Genomic DNA, 15,023 nt, shown 5'->3' on the forward strand with positions numbered 1-15,023 from the left:
AAAAAAAAACTGAGTCTCAATGAAGCAGTGATTCCTACTAATCTGTTATTGCTACCACATGCAGCTTTGAAGGGTAGGGAACCTCAAATATCAGTGATAAGCTGGTTTTGGCAGCCAGTATACTAGGCTCACCACAATCTTGCTCTGCCAGATAGGCACAGTGAGAAAAACAACAGCAGGAAAGATGGCAGGAAGGCAGAGGAAGGAGCCCTTTGGAGATGTGCTGAAGCACTACAATGTTCTGTAACTTTGCAAACACTGAGAAACAATGAATTCCACAGGAACTGGTGGGATGGCTCATTTTGTGAAAAGTCTAAGCTGTCAGAGAAAAGTCTAAGAAGCAGGAAAGTAAAAAACTATTCTGTGTATAATGGCAGAAGCAATAAACAATATTCAAATATGTCAATAATATTAAATATGTAAGAATGTTGTAGGTTATAACATTCTTACTTAAGTGTAATGATGTGTTTTTAAAAATACTTGAGAGTCAGTTACTTGCATACAAGAGAAATAAAACATTTGCCACATTATTAAAAAAACAAAACAAAACAAAACACATTCTTAACTGTAGCCGCATAAACTGACAATGCAAATTACTATCACTACACCTAACAGGCAAAAAAAACTCTAAACTCCTTATGTGTTCTTACAAGACTCAATGTGGGTCGGGCGCAGTGGCTCACACCTGTAATCCCAGCACTTTGGGAGGCCGAGGTGGGCAGATCACAAGGTCAGGAGATCGAGACCATCCTGGCTAACACGGTGAAACCTCATCTCTGCTAAAAATACAACAAATTAGCCGGGCATGGTGGCGGGCGCCTGTAGTCCCAGCTACTCAGGAGGCTGAGGCAGGAGAATGGCGTGAACCCGGAAGGCAGAGCTTGCAGTGAGCCGAGATTGCGCCACTGCACTCCAGCCTGGGCGACAGAGCGAGACTCCGTCTCAAAAAAAAAAAAAGACTCAATGTGATCTGGCCCATGTTCCACTCCTTTTCTCTCACAATGGTCCAACTACACTGGTTTTCTTCCTAGTCCTCAACTATACAAAGCTTGTTCCCATCTAAATGTCTTTGGATTTGCTAATTATTTCAAGGAATTCTCCTCTAGATTTTATGTGGCTTTATTTAGGTTTCAATGCAAATGCTACCTTTGGAGTGAGGCCTTCTTGGACCACACAATCTAAAATAGACTCACTTTCCTCCAAAGCACATTCTATCCTAAAACTCTGTAGTACTCATCTCTATATGAAAAATCTAAAAGGAAATTTGAAGGCAGTGATTTTGTCGTATAAATCTAATGCATCTTAGACCACACAATCTAAGATTCACTTTCCTCTAAAGCACATTCTATCCTAAAACTCTATAATACTCATCTCTATATGAAAATCTAAAAGGAATTTGAAGGCAGTGATTTTGTTGTATAAATCTAATGCCTCAAACAGTGCCTGGTATGTGGTAGATACTCAGTAAATACTTGTAGAGTGACTGATCCCTAGAAAAGTATATTCAAAAATGACAGAAAGCAAAATGTAATTTAAAAAATTATTAATGAACAATAAAATAGTCTGGAAAGTAAGGATATTAAAATACTTACTGAATCGCCATCATCTTTTTTAGAATCCCTTTTCAATGGCTCATTCATATCTTCTTGGCTACGGAAGCTGAAATTCTGGATTGCTTCAGTGACACCTCTAAGAGAGCTATAAATATCTTCAGAGTTCATATTTTCTGTGTCATAATCAAATGCACTATGAAAAAGACGACACTAATTTTTACTTAGGTGTAGTTTTAAAATACAAACACATCTGAGGAGATTATATAAGGATATTTATAAAGACAGGATTAGAGAATGTATATTCTCAGAGCATAATTAGCAAAATAAAAAATAGCAGCTATATATCATTAAAGTACATGTCTCTTTGTCCTTCCACCAAGGACACCTTACAGTTACTCTAGAATGCACAGACCTTAATAACTAGTTTGTCTTTCCACCTTGAAAAATGTTCTGATTAACCAGAGGTCAACAAACTATGGATGGCTTGTAAGCTAAGAACGTTTTTCACATTTTTAAAAGATTGGAAAAAAACAAAAAAAATCATGAAAATTAGATAAAATTTAAATGTCAGTGTCCATAAATAAATTTTTTCTTTTTTTTTGGAGACGAAATCTCACTCTTCTCCCCCAGGCTGGAATGTGATGGCGTGATCTCAGCTCACTGCAACCTCTGCCTCCCGAGTTCAACTGATTCTCCTGCCTCAGCCTCCCGAGTAGCTGGGATTACAGGCGCCGGCCACCACACCTGGCTAATTTTTGTATTTTTAGTAAAGATGGGGTTTCACCATGTTGTGCAGGCTGGTCTCGAACTCCTGACCTCAGGTGATCCGCCCACCTCGGCCTCCCAAAGTGCTGGGATTACAGGCGTGAGCCACTGCGCCCAGCCCATAAATAAAATTTTATTAAACATAGTCGTGCCTATTTATTTAGGTATTGTCTATGGCTGTTTTCTATTTCTATTGTTGATGGCTGTTTTCATACAATAGCAGAGTTGAGAAGAGACTCTAAGACCATGACTCAAACAGCCTAAAATATTTACTACCTGACCCTTTACAGAAAGTTTATCAATCTCTGTGATCAACTCCCAGTAATGGTACTGCTTGACAAAGAGATAAATGTATTTTAACACAAATTTGTAAGAAGATAGAGGATTTTTAATACTGAATATAATTTTTTTTTTTTTTTTGAGATGGAGTTTCACTCTTGTTGCCCAGGCTGGAGTGCAATGGCGCAACCTTGGCTCACTGCAACCTCTACCTCTCAGGCTCAAGCGATTCTCCAGCCTCAGCCTCACCTCAGCCTCCCGAGTAGCTGGGATTACAGGCTCCTGCCACCACATCAGGCTAATTTTTTGTATTTTTAGTAGAGATGGGGTTTCACCATGTTGACTAGGCTGGTCTCGAACTCCTGACCTCAGGTGATCTGCCCACCTTGGCCTCCCAAAGTGTTGCGATTACACGCATGAGCCACTGTGACTGGCCAAATTTTTTTTTTTTTTTTTTTTTTAAGGGACAGGGTCTTGCTGCTGCCCAGACTGGAGTGCAGTGGTGCAAACATAGCTTACTGCAGCCTTGAACTCCTAGGCTTAAATAATCATCCTGCATCAGCCTATCAAGTTGCTAGGACTACAAACACACACCACCATGCTAGGCTGATTTAAAAAAATTTTTTTTTGTAGAGATGGGGTCTCAATATGTTGCCCAGGTTTGTCCCAAACTGCTGGCCTCAAGTGATCCTCCTGCCTTGGCCTCCCAAAGTGCTAGGATTGCAAGTGTGAGCCATTCTGCTCTATATGTTATAGACATGAACTTTAAAATCAAATGCTGAAATTCAACTGAAGCTGGAATTTAGCTACCAAATTTATCATATATGTAGAACATGGAAAAAATAGGCTAGGAAATGTTTGCAATATATTTTTCTTAGATGTTGATGTATTATCCAATAATGTTAATGAATAACTTGATGAAGCACACTATAATATATGGCTAATGACAAAAATCAAGCTATTAACTATAAATACCAACTCTTTTTTTTTTTTTTTTGAGACGGAGCCTTGCTCTGTGACTTAGGCTGGAGTGCGGTAGCACGACATCAGCTCACTGCAACCTCTGCCTCCTGGGTTCAAGTGATTTTCCTGCCTCATCCTCCTGAGTAGCTGGAACTACCGGCATGCACCACCACACTCGGCTAATTTTTGTACTATTAGTAGAGATGGGGTTTTGCCATGTTGGTCAGGCTGGTCTCGAACTCCTGACCTCAAGTGATCTGCCCACCTCTGCCTCCCAAAGTGCTGGGATTACAGGTGTGAATGAATTATTGTGGAAGATAGTGTGGCAATTCCTCAAAGACCTAGAGACAGAAATATCATTTGAGCCAGCAATCCCACTACTGGGTATATACCCAAAGGAATACAAATCTTTCTGTTATAAAGACACATGCACATGTATGTGCACTGTAGCACTATTCACAATAGCAAAGACATGGAATCAACCTAAATGCCCATCAGTGATAGACTGGATAAAGAAAATGTGGTATCTATACACCACGGAATACACCACAGCCAGCCCCAACTCCTTCTTAAAAAAACTTTTAAGTTCAGGGGTATGTGTTCAGGATGTGCAGACTTGTTACATAGGCAAACGTGTGTCATGGGGGTTTGGTTGTATAGATTATTTTATCACCCAGGTATTAAGCCTAGTGTCCATTAATTATTTTTCCTGATCCTCTCCCTCCTCCTACCCTCTGCCCTCTGGTAGGCCCCAGTGTGTTTTGTTCCCCTCTATGTGTTCATGTGTTTTCATCATTTAGCTCCTACTTGTAAGTGAGAACATGCAGTATTTTTTTGTTGTTGTTCTTGTGTTAGTCTGCTAAGGATAACAGTCTCCAGCTCCATCTATGTCTCTGCAAAGGACATGATCTTATTCTGTTTTTATGGCCACATAGTATTCCATGGTGTATAGATACCACATTTTCTTTATCCAGTCTATCACTGATAGGCATTTAGGTTGATTCCATGTCTTTGCTATTGTGAACAGTGCTGCAGTGCACATACATGTGCATGTATCTTTATAACAGAATGATTTATATTCCTTTGGGTATATACCCAGTAGTGGGATTGCTGGCTCAAATTATATTTCTGTCTCTAGGTCTTTGAGGAATTGCCACACTATCTTCCACAATAGTTCAACTAATTTACACTCCCACCAATAGTGTAAAAGTGTTCCTTTTTCTCCACAACCTTGCCAGCATCTGTTATTTTTTGACATTTTAATAATAACCATTCTGACTGGTGTGAGATGGTATCTCACTGTGGGCTTGATTTGCATTTCTCTGATGATCAGTGATGCTGAACTTCTATGCAAATAATTTTCCAAAAGGCTAGGAAAAGGAAATAAAATTTTAGTCTACTAAGCAGTCAAGAATGTCATTTGAAATCTAGCTCATGCTTGAATCATACAAGTGTGTGAAAATTGTACACATCTTTTATTTTGCATTAAGGACCAATCTCTCAGTCAGTCATATTTTTTCCTCAGAGGTATATATTCACTATTTACTTATTATATATGTTTATATATATAATTCATATATCATTATATATATAATGAATTACATATATATGTAATGAATTATAATAACTATGATTCATTACATATATAATGAAAAAAATTAAGCTTACAGACAAAACATAAAAATAACAAATAGGGAAGGGTTAAATATATAATAAATATAAAAACAGGGTTAATTATATAAAAATGTAATAAATATATATGAATATAAATCATTCTGTTATAATCATTCTGAATATGAAATACATCATTCTGAATATGAAAACCATAGTATGACCTAATGTCATATTTATGATATATGACATGTTATATATGTAATTCATTATATATGACATATATGTAATTCATTATATATGATACATATATAATGTCATATATTCATTATATATTTAACACTCCCCTATTTGTTATTTATATGTTTTGTTTGCAAGCTTAATTTTTTAAACTCATCATTATAACTGACCTCATCACCACTTATACTGAGTAGTATAATGTAATTGAAAGACATAGTTTGCAATTTACTGGATTTATACAGCATCTCTGAGAAATATAACTATGCCATTTAATGTAATAAGCAGTAATTTATTTAAAAAGGCTGTCAGGTTTTCTTTCCACTTATTAAAAAATTCCATATCCTATATATTATCATTTAAGTAGTTGGCTTTCAAATAAAATTTTTTTCATTTGCTAAGTTTCTACTTTTCTAAGACCTTTCAAGTCAAGTGGGAACTGACTTGAATTATATTAGTGCTTGCTTTTTTAAGAATGGAATTTACAGCCAAGGGTGGTACCTCACGCCTGTAATCCCAGCATTTTGGGAGGCCGAGGCGGGCAGATCACCTAAGGTCAGGAGTTTGTGACCGGCCTGGCCAACATGGTGAAACCCTGTCTCTAGCAAAAATACAAAAATCAGCGGGGTGTGGTGGCATGCACCTGTAAGCCCAGCTACTTGGGAGACTGAGGCAGGAGAACTGCTTGAACCTGGGAGGTAGAGGTTGCAGTGAGTTGAGATCACACCACCACACTCCAGCCTGGGCGACAGAGCAAGACTCTGTCTCAAAAAGAAAGAATGGGAATTTACAAATACAAACCATCATGAAAAATCATCCTTTTATTACCTTGGAGATAAAGTATTCTGTGATGTATTGGTAGGAGAAGTAAGAGGACTGGACCAGTTAGCTGGTGATCGTGGTGTTGGTCTTGTCAAAGGACTCCCCATGGAACTCTGATGAAGGGAGTCAAAGAAATATTAACATATTACAGGTAAGTTCACTTAAAAAAACTCTTAAGGAAGCCACACAAACATTAGGTTGAACCATATTAAAGGGCCATATTTACAGGTCAATATTTTAAATATTCATGTACTTACGTCTGGTTTCCAGGGGGAAAATTTCTCCCTACTTAGGAATGTAACTCTTTAGTCTTTTTCTGTTCTCACCTGCTTCCTGCTCTCAAATATTATCAACATCATTTCCCTCAAGGATTGAATGTAATTTTAAATTAGCTTCCTGTTCTGAGCTAATTTCCTTCTTCTAACCATTACTAATGCTCAAATTTTATCCCTCCTTGACTTTGCTTTACACCAAGGGAGTTAAATCTTGTCATACTATTAATATGTCTATTCTTAAGATATGATGAAATAATCCCTACTCCTTTTAAAAAGATGACTGACTCTGGTTCACAAGAAATTGTTTTAGAATTACTTTTAACCCTCCTCAGACTTTACCTTAAGCCTGCCATCAGTGTGTCTCCTTTATTTGCCATTAAATGTCTTTCTTTTTAATGCTTCAGTTCAATTCTTTAGGCATATAATGTAAGTTATTTCATACCAGTAAAAAATATATATATGTATACACAAACACACAAATATACATATTTCAATGTTTCATTTACTCAGAACTTACTTCTTCAAAACAAATTCCTGCACATCCAAGTATAAATGGACTGACAAGCCTGTGATCATTTAATGTGACCACACTTCTTAAAGCACTACCTCCTTTGAATCTTATTTGTTAACCCTGGAATAAGTCATCCTTGTTAGTCCTCAAATAAGAATTGATTCATCTAAAGAGCATGTCCTGATTCTAATGGCTTCCAGCTGGTGCTCTCATCTATGTTTTGCTCACGTTTTGCTTTTCTTGTTCATACCTGGCCACTGTTTACCACTATCCTAATGCACACAAATTATAATATAATATAAACAGGACAGGAATAGGGACTCTGTTCTTTCCAAGACAATATTTAATTCTGCTCAGGAAATGCTGCCAAATAAAGATGCAAAAATTATATATTAAGGATCAAGTTTACTTCGTATAAAAGAAAGCAATTATTATTAAATCAACCATCACATTATATGATAGCCAAGAAAATAAGTAACAATTACCTGGGTTCCATTGCCAGTGTTTCGAAGGTGATTATGAAGAAGCTTGGTAGCACCATCCTGAAAAGTTTTTGGTAAAGCTCCTAATAACATTGTAAACTCTGGGGTATTGAGTTCAAATAATGAAATCAGCACTGACTGTGCTGCCTAAAAAACAAAGGCATACAGTAGATGAATATATTTTTGTTACTCAAACAAGACCGTTTTCTTCCCCTACATTTCTGTTCAATAGCACGAAGCTTGACCATCTTTCCCAGGGAAAAGGAAGATATTCTTATTTGCTTTCAAACTGTTTTGCTGGAAGGATAAAAAAAAAATATTGACCTACCTTTTTTTTTTTTAAGGTAAGAAGGGAATATGAAAAGCATAACAAATATGACCTAACAGACAATGGAAAAGTTAACCATGACGGTTTCCAGGGTTACTCTGTTACATACTACTACAGTATTTTAGTTTTCCTAATAAACGATTACAAGGAGAAATAATATCTAATCTTCTCACAAGCAGTTAACTAAACAACTCTACAATTTGAAGCTAAAGTAAGTCCGTTCTGTGGAAATGGGAACAAAATAAAGCTTACTCAGATCAGTCAAGAAAAGTTATACAATTCTTCTCCGCTTCTGAAGTAATCAACTGCATTACTAAAAGACAAACTTTGAAATTCAAATTATATAGAGACTTAATTAAGGAGAGAGAAACTCAAATCATTTATGATCACATGACTTGTATCCAAATCTGCACACTTCATTTTGGACTTTTCTGAACCCACTCTATGAAAAATACACCTGAATATACAACACTAGGGGGAATGGTTAAATTATGTTACTTTGGAACAATGGAATACTATACAACACAATCTTGGAAGATGATACAGCTCTCAATGTAGAAATTGAGAAAGGTCTATTATACACTGCTGAAGAAAAACTATAAGACTGCTGTAACAGGCCAAGTGCAGTGGCTCACACTGCACTTTGGGAGGCAAAGGCAGGTGGATCACTTGAGGTCAGGAGTTCGAGACCAGTCTGGCTAACATGATGAATCCCCGTCTCTACTAAAAATACAAAAACTAGCCGGGTGTGGTGGTGTGTGCTTGTAATCCCAGCTACCTGGGAGGCTGAGGCCAGAGGATCTCTTGAACCTGGGAGGCAGAAGTTGCAGTGAGCAGAGATCATGCCACTGCACTCCAGCCTGGGAGACAAAGTGAGACTTAAAAGGAAAAAAAAAAAAAAGAGTGTTATGAGCACATTTTGTTAAAAACAAAGAAGTGTAAGTTGTGTGGGTATATACTCTGGGTATCTAACATGTTAATAGTGCTTAAATAAAGCTATTAATATTTGCAGTTTGAAAACAAAAGTTACGATCTCATACTTTTTTTTGGAACCACCACATTGAATGGACCACAAGTAAACTTGAGCAAATGAACTAGTAATTGTTAATATATACTTTATTCCATCTAGTTTACTTTGGTTTGGAGATTCAGCTTTATTTCCCCTGTAGGGACAGACATCCCAATTGCTCCCAAACCATTTACCAATGAGTATATCCTTTCCTCATGACTTGAAGTGACACCTGTATAATGAACTAATCTCCTATATAAACCTAAGTATCTCTGGACCTTCCTTCATGTTCCATTGATCTATTTGTCTATTTCTGTACTAACACCACATGACTTAAAATACTATACCGTTAGTATATTTCGATCATATCCTTCCTTTCTTGCGGTTTTAAATTTCCTAATGTCATATTTGTTTTACTAGATTTCATATTTCTTTTAAAATAATTTTTGAAGTCTATCAAAGTAATACATACATACAGATTTTAAAAAACCAGTTTTACAAAAGGTTTTATAAATCTCAATTCCATTGTTCAGGTCTCCAGAGTTCCCTTTTGTAATGCTTGTTTTTACTGATAGGATTCATAGGCTTATAAAATTATTTCTTCATTTATCAGCTTGAGACATTTTCTAGTGATTTCTTACAATAGATGAGGACTTAGGTTCCTTTCAACATCAGCTCTACCTTTCTTCTTTCTTCTCCCTTATACTAGCCCATTTTTGTCACATCAGACAGCATAATCTTTAAAAACATAAATCATATTACTCTGTGAGTTAAAAATGTGCCAATAATTTCTACAGTCACATCAGTATTCTTGTTCTTGGAATACTGCAAAATTTAAATTTTGATGAAATCCAACTTATCTGTTTTTCCATTTGTTGCCTAAGCTTCTGATACCATATCCAAGAATCCACTGCCAAATCGGAGTTCATGAAGATTTATTCCTGTTTTAAGTGTTTTATTTTCCTGTATCTATTGAGATGATTATGTGGTTTTTGTATTTTTACTATTGATATGGTCTACTACATTAATAGATTTTTGGATGTTAATCTAACCTTACATTCCTGGGATAAATCCCTCTTGGTCATTGATATGGTTTGGCTCTGTGTCCCCACACAAATCTCATCTTGAATTATACTCCCATAATTCCCACGTGTTGGAGGGACTGGTGGGAGATAACTGAATCATGGGGGTGGTTTCTGCCACACTGTTCTTGTGGTAGTGAATAAGTCTCATGAGATCTGATGATTTGATAAGGGGAAACCCATTTCACTTGGCTCATTCTCCCTCTCTGCCTGCTGACATCCATGTAAGACATTATTTGCTCTTCCTTGACTTCTGCCATGATTGTGAGGCTTCCTGAGCCACATGAAACTGTAAGTTCAATTAAACCTTTATTTTGTAAATTGCCCAGTCTCAAGTATGTCTTTATCAGCAGCATGAAAATGAACTAATACAGTCATGGTATATACTTCTTTTACATATGTTGCTAAATTTGGCTTGCCAGCATTTTGTTGAAGATTAAGGCATTCATATTCATAAAGAGATGCTGGTCTGTAGTGTCTTTTTTGATGTGCGATGTCTCTGTCTAGTTTTGGTATCAGAATAAAACTGGTCTCATAGAATAAACTGGGAAGTGTTCCTTCCTCTTCTGTTTGTTTGGAAGAATGTGTGAAGAATTGATATTAATTGTTTGGTGGAATTTACCACCAGTGACGCCATCTGAGCCTGGGCTTTTCTTTGTGCAGTTTTATTTTATGTATTTTTTTTTTTTTTTTGAGATGGGGTGCTGCTCTGTCACTCGGGCTGGAGTGCAGTGGTGTAATCACAGTTCACTGCAGCATCGACCTCCCAGACTCAAATGATCCTCCTACCTCAGCCTCCTGAGTAGCTGGGACTACAGGTGTATGCCACCACACTCAATTAATTTTTGTATAGACAGGGTTTCACCATGTTACCCAGGCTGGTCTCTTCTGGGCTCAGGCAATCCACCTGCCTCAGCCTCCTAAAGTGCTGGGATTACAGGTGTGAGCCACCGTGCCTGGCTTGTGCATAGTTTTTGAATACTAGATCAATTTCCTGTTATAGTTCTATTCATGCTATCTATTTCTTCTTCAGTCAGTTTTGGTAGTTTGTATTTTTCTAGGAATTTGTCCATTTCATCTAAGTTTTTTTATAAGCTCAGTAGTTAAAATAATTTTTAAGTCTTTAAATCAAATACTTACAGATTTTTAAAAAAAGTTTTAGAAAATGTTTTATAATTTTTTATTTTTATTTTTATTTTTTTGAGACAGAGTCTCCCTCTGTTGCCCGGGCTGGAGTGCAGTGGCGCAATCTCGGCTCACTACAACCTCTGCCTCCCAGGTTCAAGCCATTCTCCTGCCTCAGCCTCCTGAGTAGCTGGGACTGCAGGTGCGTGCCACCACACTCAGCTAATTTTTCATATTTTTAGTAGAGACAGGGTTTCACCATGTTAGCCAGGATGGTCTTGATCTCCTGACCTCATGATCCACCCGCCTGTTTCCCAAAGTGCTGGAATTACAGGCGTTAGCCACTGTGCCCAGCCATCATTTTATAAATCTTAATTCCCTTTTTCAGCTCTCCAGAGTTCCCTTTTGTAATGCTTGTTTTTACTGATAGGATTGACAGGCTTATACAATTATCTCTTCATTATCAGCTTGAGACATTTTCTAGTGATTTCCTGCCACAATAGGTAACGACTACGGTTTCATTTCTTTTTTTTTTTTTTTTTTTTTTTGAGTTGGGAGTCTCACTATCATCCAGGCTGGAGTAGAGCAGCATGATCATAGCTCACTGCACCCTTGAACTCCTTGGCTCTAGTGATCTTCCTGCTTCAGTCTCTTGAGTATCTGGGACTACAGGCATGCACCACCATACCCACCTAATTTTGAATTTTCTTTTTTTGCATAGATGAGGTCTTGTCATATTGCCCAGTCTGGTCTCAGACTCCCAGCCTCAAGTGATCCTCCCACCTTGGGATTACAGGTGTGAGCCACCACACCCAGGTGTTGGGATTACAGGTGTGTGCCACCACACCCAGCACATTTGTAATTCCAGTAATTTGAATGTTTTCTCTTTTTACCCTGATATGTTTAGCTAAAGGTTTGTCAATTTTGTTGATCTTTCCAAAGAACCAGCTTTTGGTTTCACTGGTTTTCCCAGTCTCTATTTCATTAACTTTTGCTTTAATCTTGATTACATCCTTCCTTTTGCTGTCTTCAGGTTTAGTATGCTTTTCTTTTTCCAGTGTCTTATGGTGGTGAATCGATTACTGATTTGAGAGCTTTCTTTTTATTGTAGGCATTAACAGCTATAAATTTCCCTAGAAGCATTGCTTGAGCTTTATCCCATACATTTTGGTATGCCATGTCTTCATTTTCATTCATCTCAATGTATTTCTTAGTGTATTTTCTTATTTCTCTTTTGATTTCCTCTTCGGCCCACTGACTATTTAAGAGTGAGCTGTTTGTGGGTTTTCTAAATACCTTTCTATTATTGACTCTAATTTCATTCTATTGTGGTCAGAGAACATACTGTGTATTCATTCTATCATTTTAATCTATTGAGGTTTCATGGCCTAGCGTGCAGAATGTTCCTAGTGTAGTTGAGAAGAATATTCTGCTGTTGTTAGGTGCAGTGCTCATCACTGGAAATAAAGATCACAAAAAATGTATATTCTGTGTACTTTTTTTCTTTTTTTTTTTTTTAAGATAAGGTCTCACTCTGTCACCCAGGCTGGAGTGCAGTGGCATGATCTTGTCTCATTGCATCCTCGACCTCCTGGGCTCAAGTGATCCTTCCACCTTAGCCTCCCAGGTAGCTGGGGCTACAGGTGCATGCCAATGCACCCAATTTTTTTTTATTTTTAGCAGAGACAGGGTTTCTCCACGTTGCTCAGGCTGGGCTCAAGCTCCTGAGCTCAGACAATCTGCCTGCCTCAGCCTACCATGTTGAGATTACAGGCGTGAGCCACTGCGTCCGGCCTATGTGTACTCCTTTTGCAGCAAATGTTGATGGAAATAATTCACCAGAAAAGAAAGTAAATAGAAGTAAATATAAGATGCAAGAAACAGGCTGGGTGCAGTGGCTCACATCTGTAATCCCAGCATTTTGGGAGGCTAAGGTGGGCAGATCACTTGAGGACAGGAGTTTGAGACCAGCTTGGTCCAATATGGAGAAACCCCAAAAATATAAAAATTAGCTGGGTGTGGTGGTGGGTGCCTGTAATCCCAGCTACTCAGGAGGCTAAGGCATGAGAATCACTTGAATTGGAAGGTGGAGGTTGCAGTGAGCCAGTATCATGCCACTGTGCTCCAGCCTGGGTGAAAAAGCGAGACTGCCTCAAAAAAAAAAAAAAAAAAAAAAAGATAGAAGAAGTAAACAGGGATGAAGATAAGTCTCAGGAAGATGCTCAAGAGAAATTCCAGACAGACGTGTGTGCAGCAGGCCTGGGGAGAAACATGTCAAAACTGGAGAAAACAACAGAATGTCTAAGAAGGAGCTCTCTAGAAAATAAAATAATAATCTATGCTTTTGAGCATATGAAAAATAATAGCCATACACATGTAGCAGAGATGTTGAAAATATTATGATACTTAAAAAAAAAAAGTAGGCAAATGAAAAAGCAAGGCAAATTATCAACTCCAGGAAAAATAACGTTTCTATAAGAAAGCAAGCAGTCGCAAATCACTTGGTATAAAAGTGAATACCTGCACAGTCAAATGTAAATCTTTTCTACTGATAACTAGTAATTGATTCATAAGTAGTTTATGAATACCTTAGAAAGGATACAGAAAGTATGAGAAAGCTAGGTCCTCACTTAACAAAATAGACGGATATACCTAATGTCTACATTCATCAATAGATTAAAAACAAGTCTAAAAATTGATAAATCAAACAACAGTGTAAGCTCTCATTTGAAATGTATAGGTAAATGCAAGGGGAATGATTTGAAATATTCCGAATGGTGATAAAATTAGAGGGAGGATTGTGGTAAAGGCAGCTACTTTTGATTCTAGGTTTGAAAATTATGCTCACATTAATTGGATAAAATTTGAAACAATTTTAAAGATTTTTTAAAAAGCTCTTCATAACTCACTGCTAATTGCTAAGGTCCTGAAAATATTAGCTTCCTTCACTGGCAATCCATAATAACTGACTTGCTTTCCCAATTTATCTTCTAAACCTCATATTAAAATATACCTTCCGAACATCAGAACTTTTGGGTTCTGTTGTCCAAGTGATGACCCGAGACACTGCTAGGCGAGTTTCACTGGAATTTATAAAATCTCCTGGATCCATCTGTTTGGCCAGAGTTTCTATGTATTTAAGGATAGCAACCTTCACCTGCAGAGGAAAGCACAAAGAGAAAGGACAGAAAGATGGTTATTGTGAGACACTAGAGAACATTTCAAAAATAATCAGGTGATGATGATGATTTTTTTTTTTATATACAGATAGGGTCTTACTATGTTGGCAAGGTTGGTCTTGCGCTCCTGGCCTCAAGCAATCCTCCCACCTCGGCCTCCCAAAGGGCTGGGATTACAGGCATGAGCCATCATGCCCAGCCAGGTGATTAATACTACAATCACCTACCTACCTGAGGTACAAGTATATGACAGTGTTGATGATTTTTGTTTTTCACACACAATCAGAACTTCGAGGTCCCAGGTGTTTCATTCCCCAAGTTTGAACAACTGCTGAAGACTATCTTGACAAGATTATAAACATTTCCTTAAATCAGCCCTCAGAGCTTATGGCTGACTCTTGGCTAGCCTCACAGGGAGCTAGTCTTTATTAACTCTGTAATTTTGTTTTTGGGAAAATGAACCAAAGTGCTTTGGAAATAAGGTATGGCAAATCAAGGTAGCAATCAAGGTGGGCAATATAGTTTTTTTTTTTTTTTTTGGTAAAACACAGACTCACACAATGAGATGAGGTTCCTTAATGAGTCCACCAGTTGTTAGAAATGCCTCCCAAAAGAACTGTCACAAAAATGAGTTATACAAGTACCACTGAAGAAAAGACAACACTTACGTGGATAAAAATGTTATGTGTGGGTTTATAATTTTTTTTTTTTTTTTTTTTGAGACAGAATCTCACCCTGTCGCCCAGGCTGGAGTGTAATGGTGCGATCTCGGCTCACTGAAACCTCCGTCTCCTGGGTTCAA

General features: G+C 37.5%; 1 protein-coding gene across 81 annotated transcripts in view; it reads right to left on the reverse strand.

Annotated features, from left to right (window-relative positions):
• CLASP2 (cytoplasmic linker associated protein 2) overlaps positions 1-15,023 on the reverse strand; it is a 222,010-nt gene that overhangs the window by 40,952 nt on the left and 166,035 nt on the right. For all 81 annotated transcript variants that reach the window (NM_001375713.1, NM_001400406.1, NM_001375705.1 and 78 more), the window contains 4 exons: positions 14,056-14,199; positions 7,502-7,645; positions 6,237-6,343; positions 1,593-1,746 (listed from right to left, as the gene is read on the reverse strand). In NM_001375713.1, the coding sequence (NP_001362642.1) occupies positions 1,593-1,746; positions 6,237-6,343; positions 7,502-7,645; positions 14,056-14,199 (549 nt within the window). The remainder of the gene's footprint in view (positions 1-1,592; positions 1,747-6,236; positions 6,344-7,501; positions 7,646-14,055; positions 14,200-15,023) is intronic.

The sequence above is a fragment of the Homo sapiens genome, chromosome 3, assembly GCF_000001405.40.
Source record: "Homo sapiens chromosome 3, GRCh38.p14 Primary Assembly".
In the NCBI taxonomy this organism is placed as follows: Eukaryota; Metazoa; Chordata; class Mammalia; order Primates; family Hominidae; genus Homo; species Homo sapiens.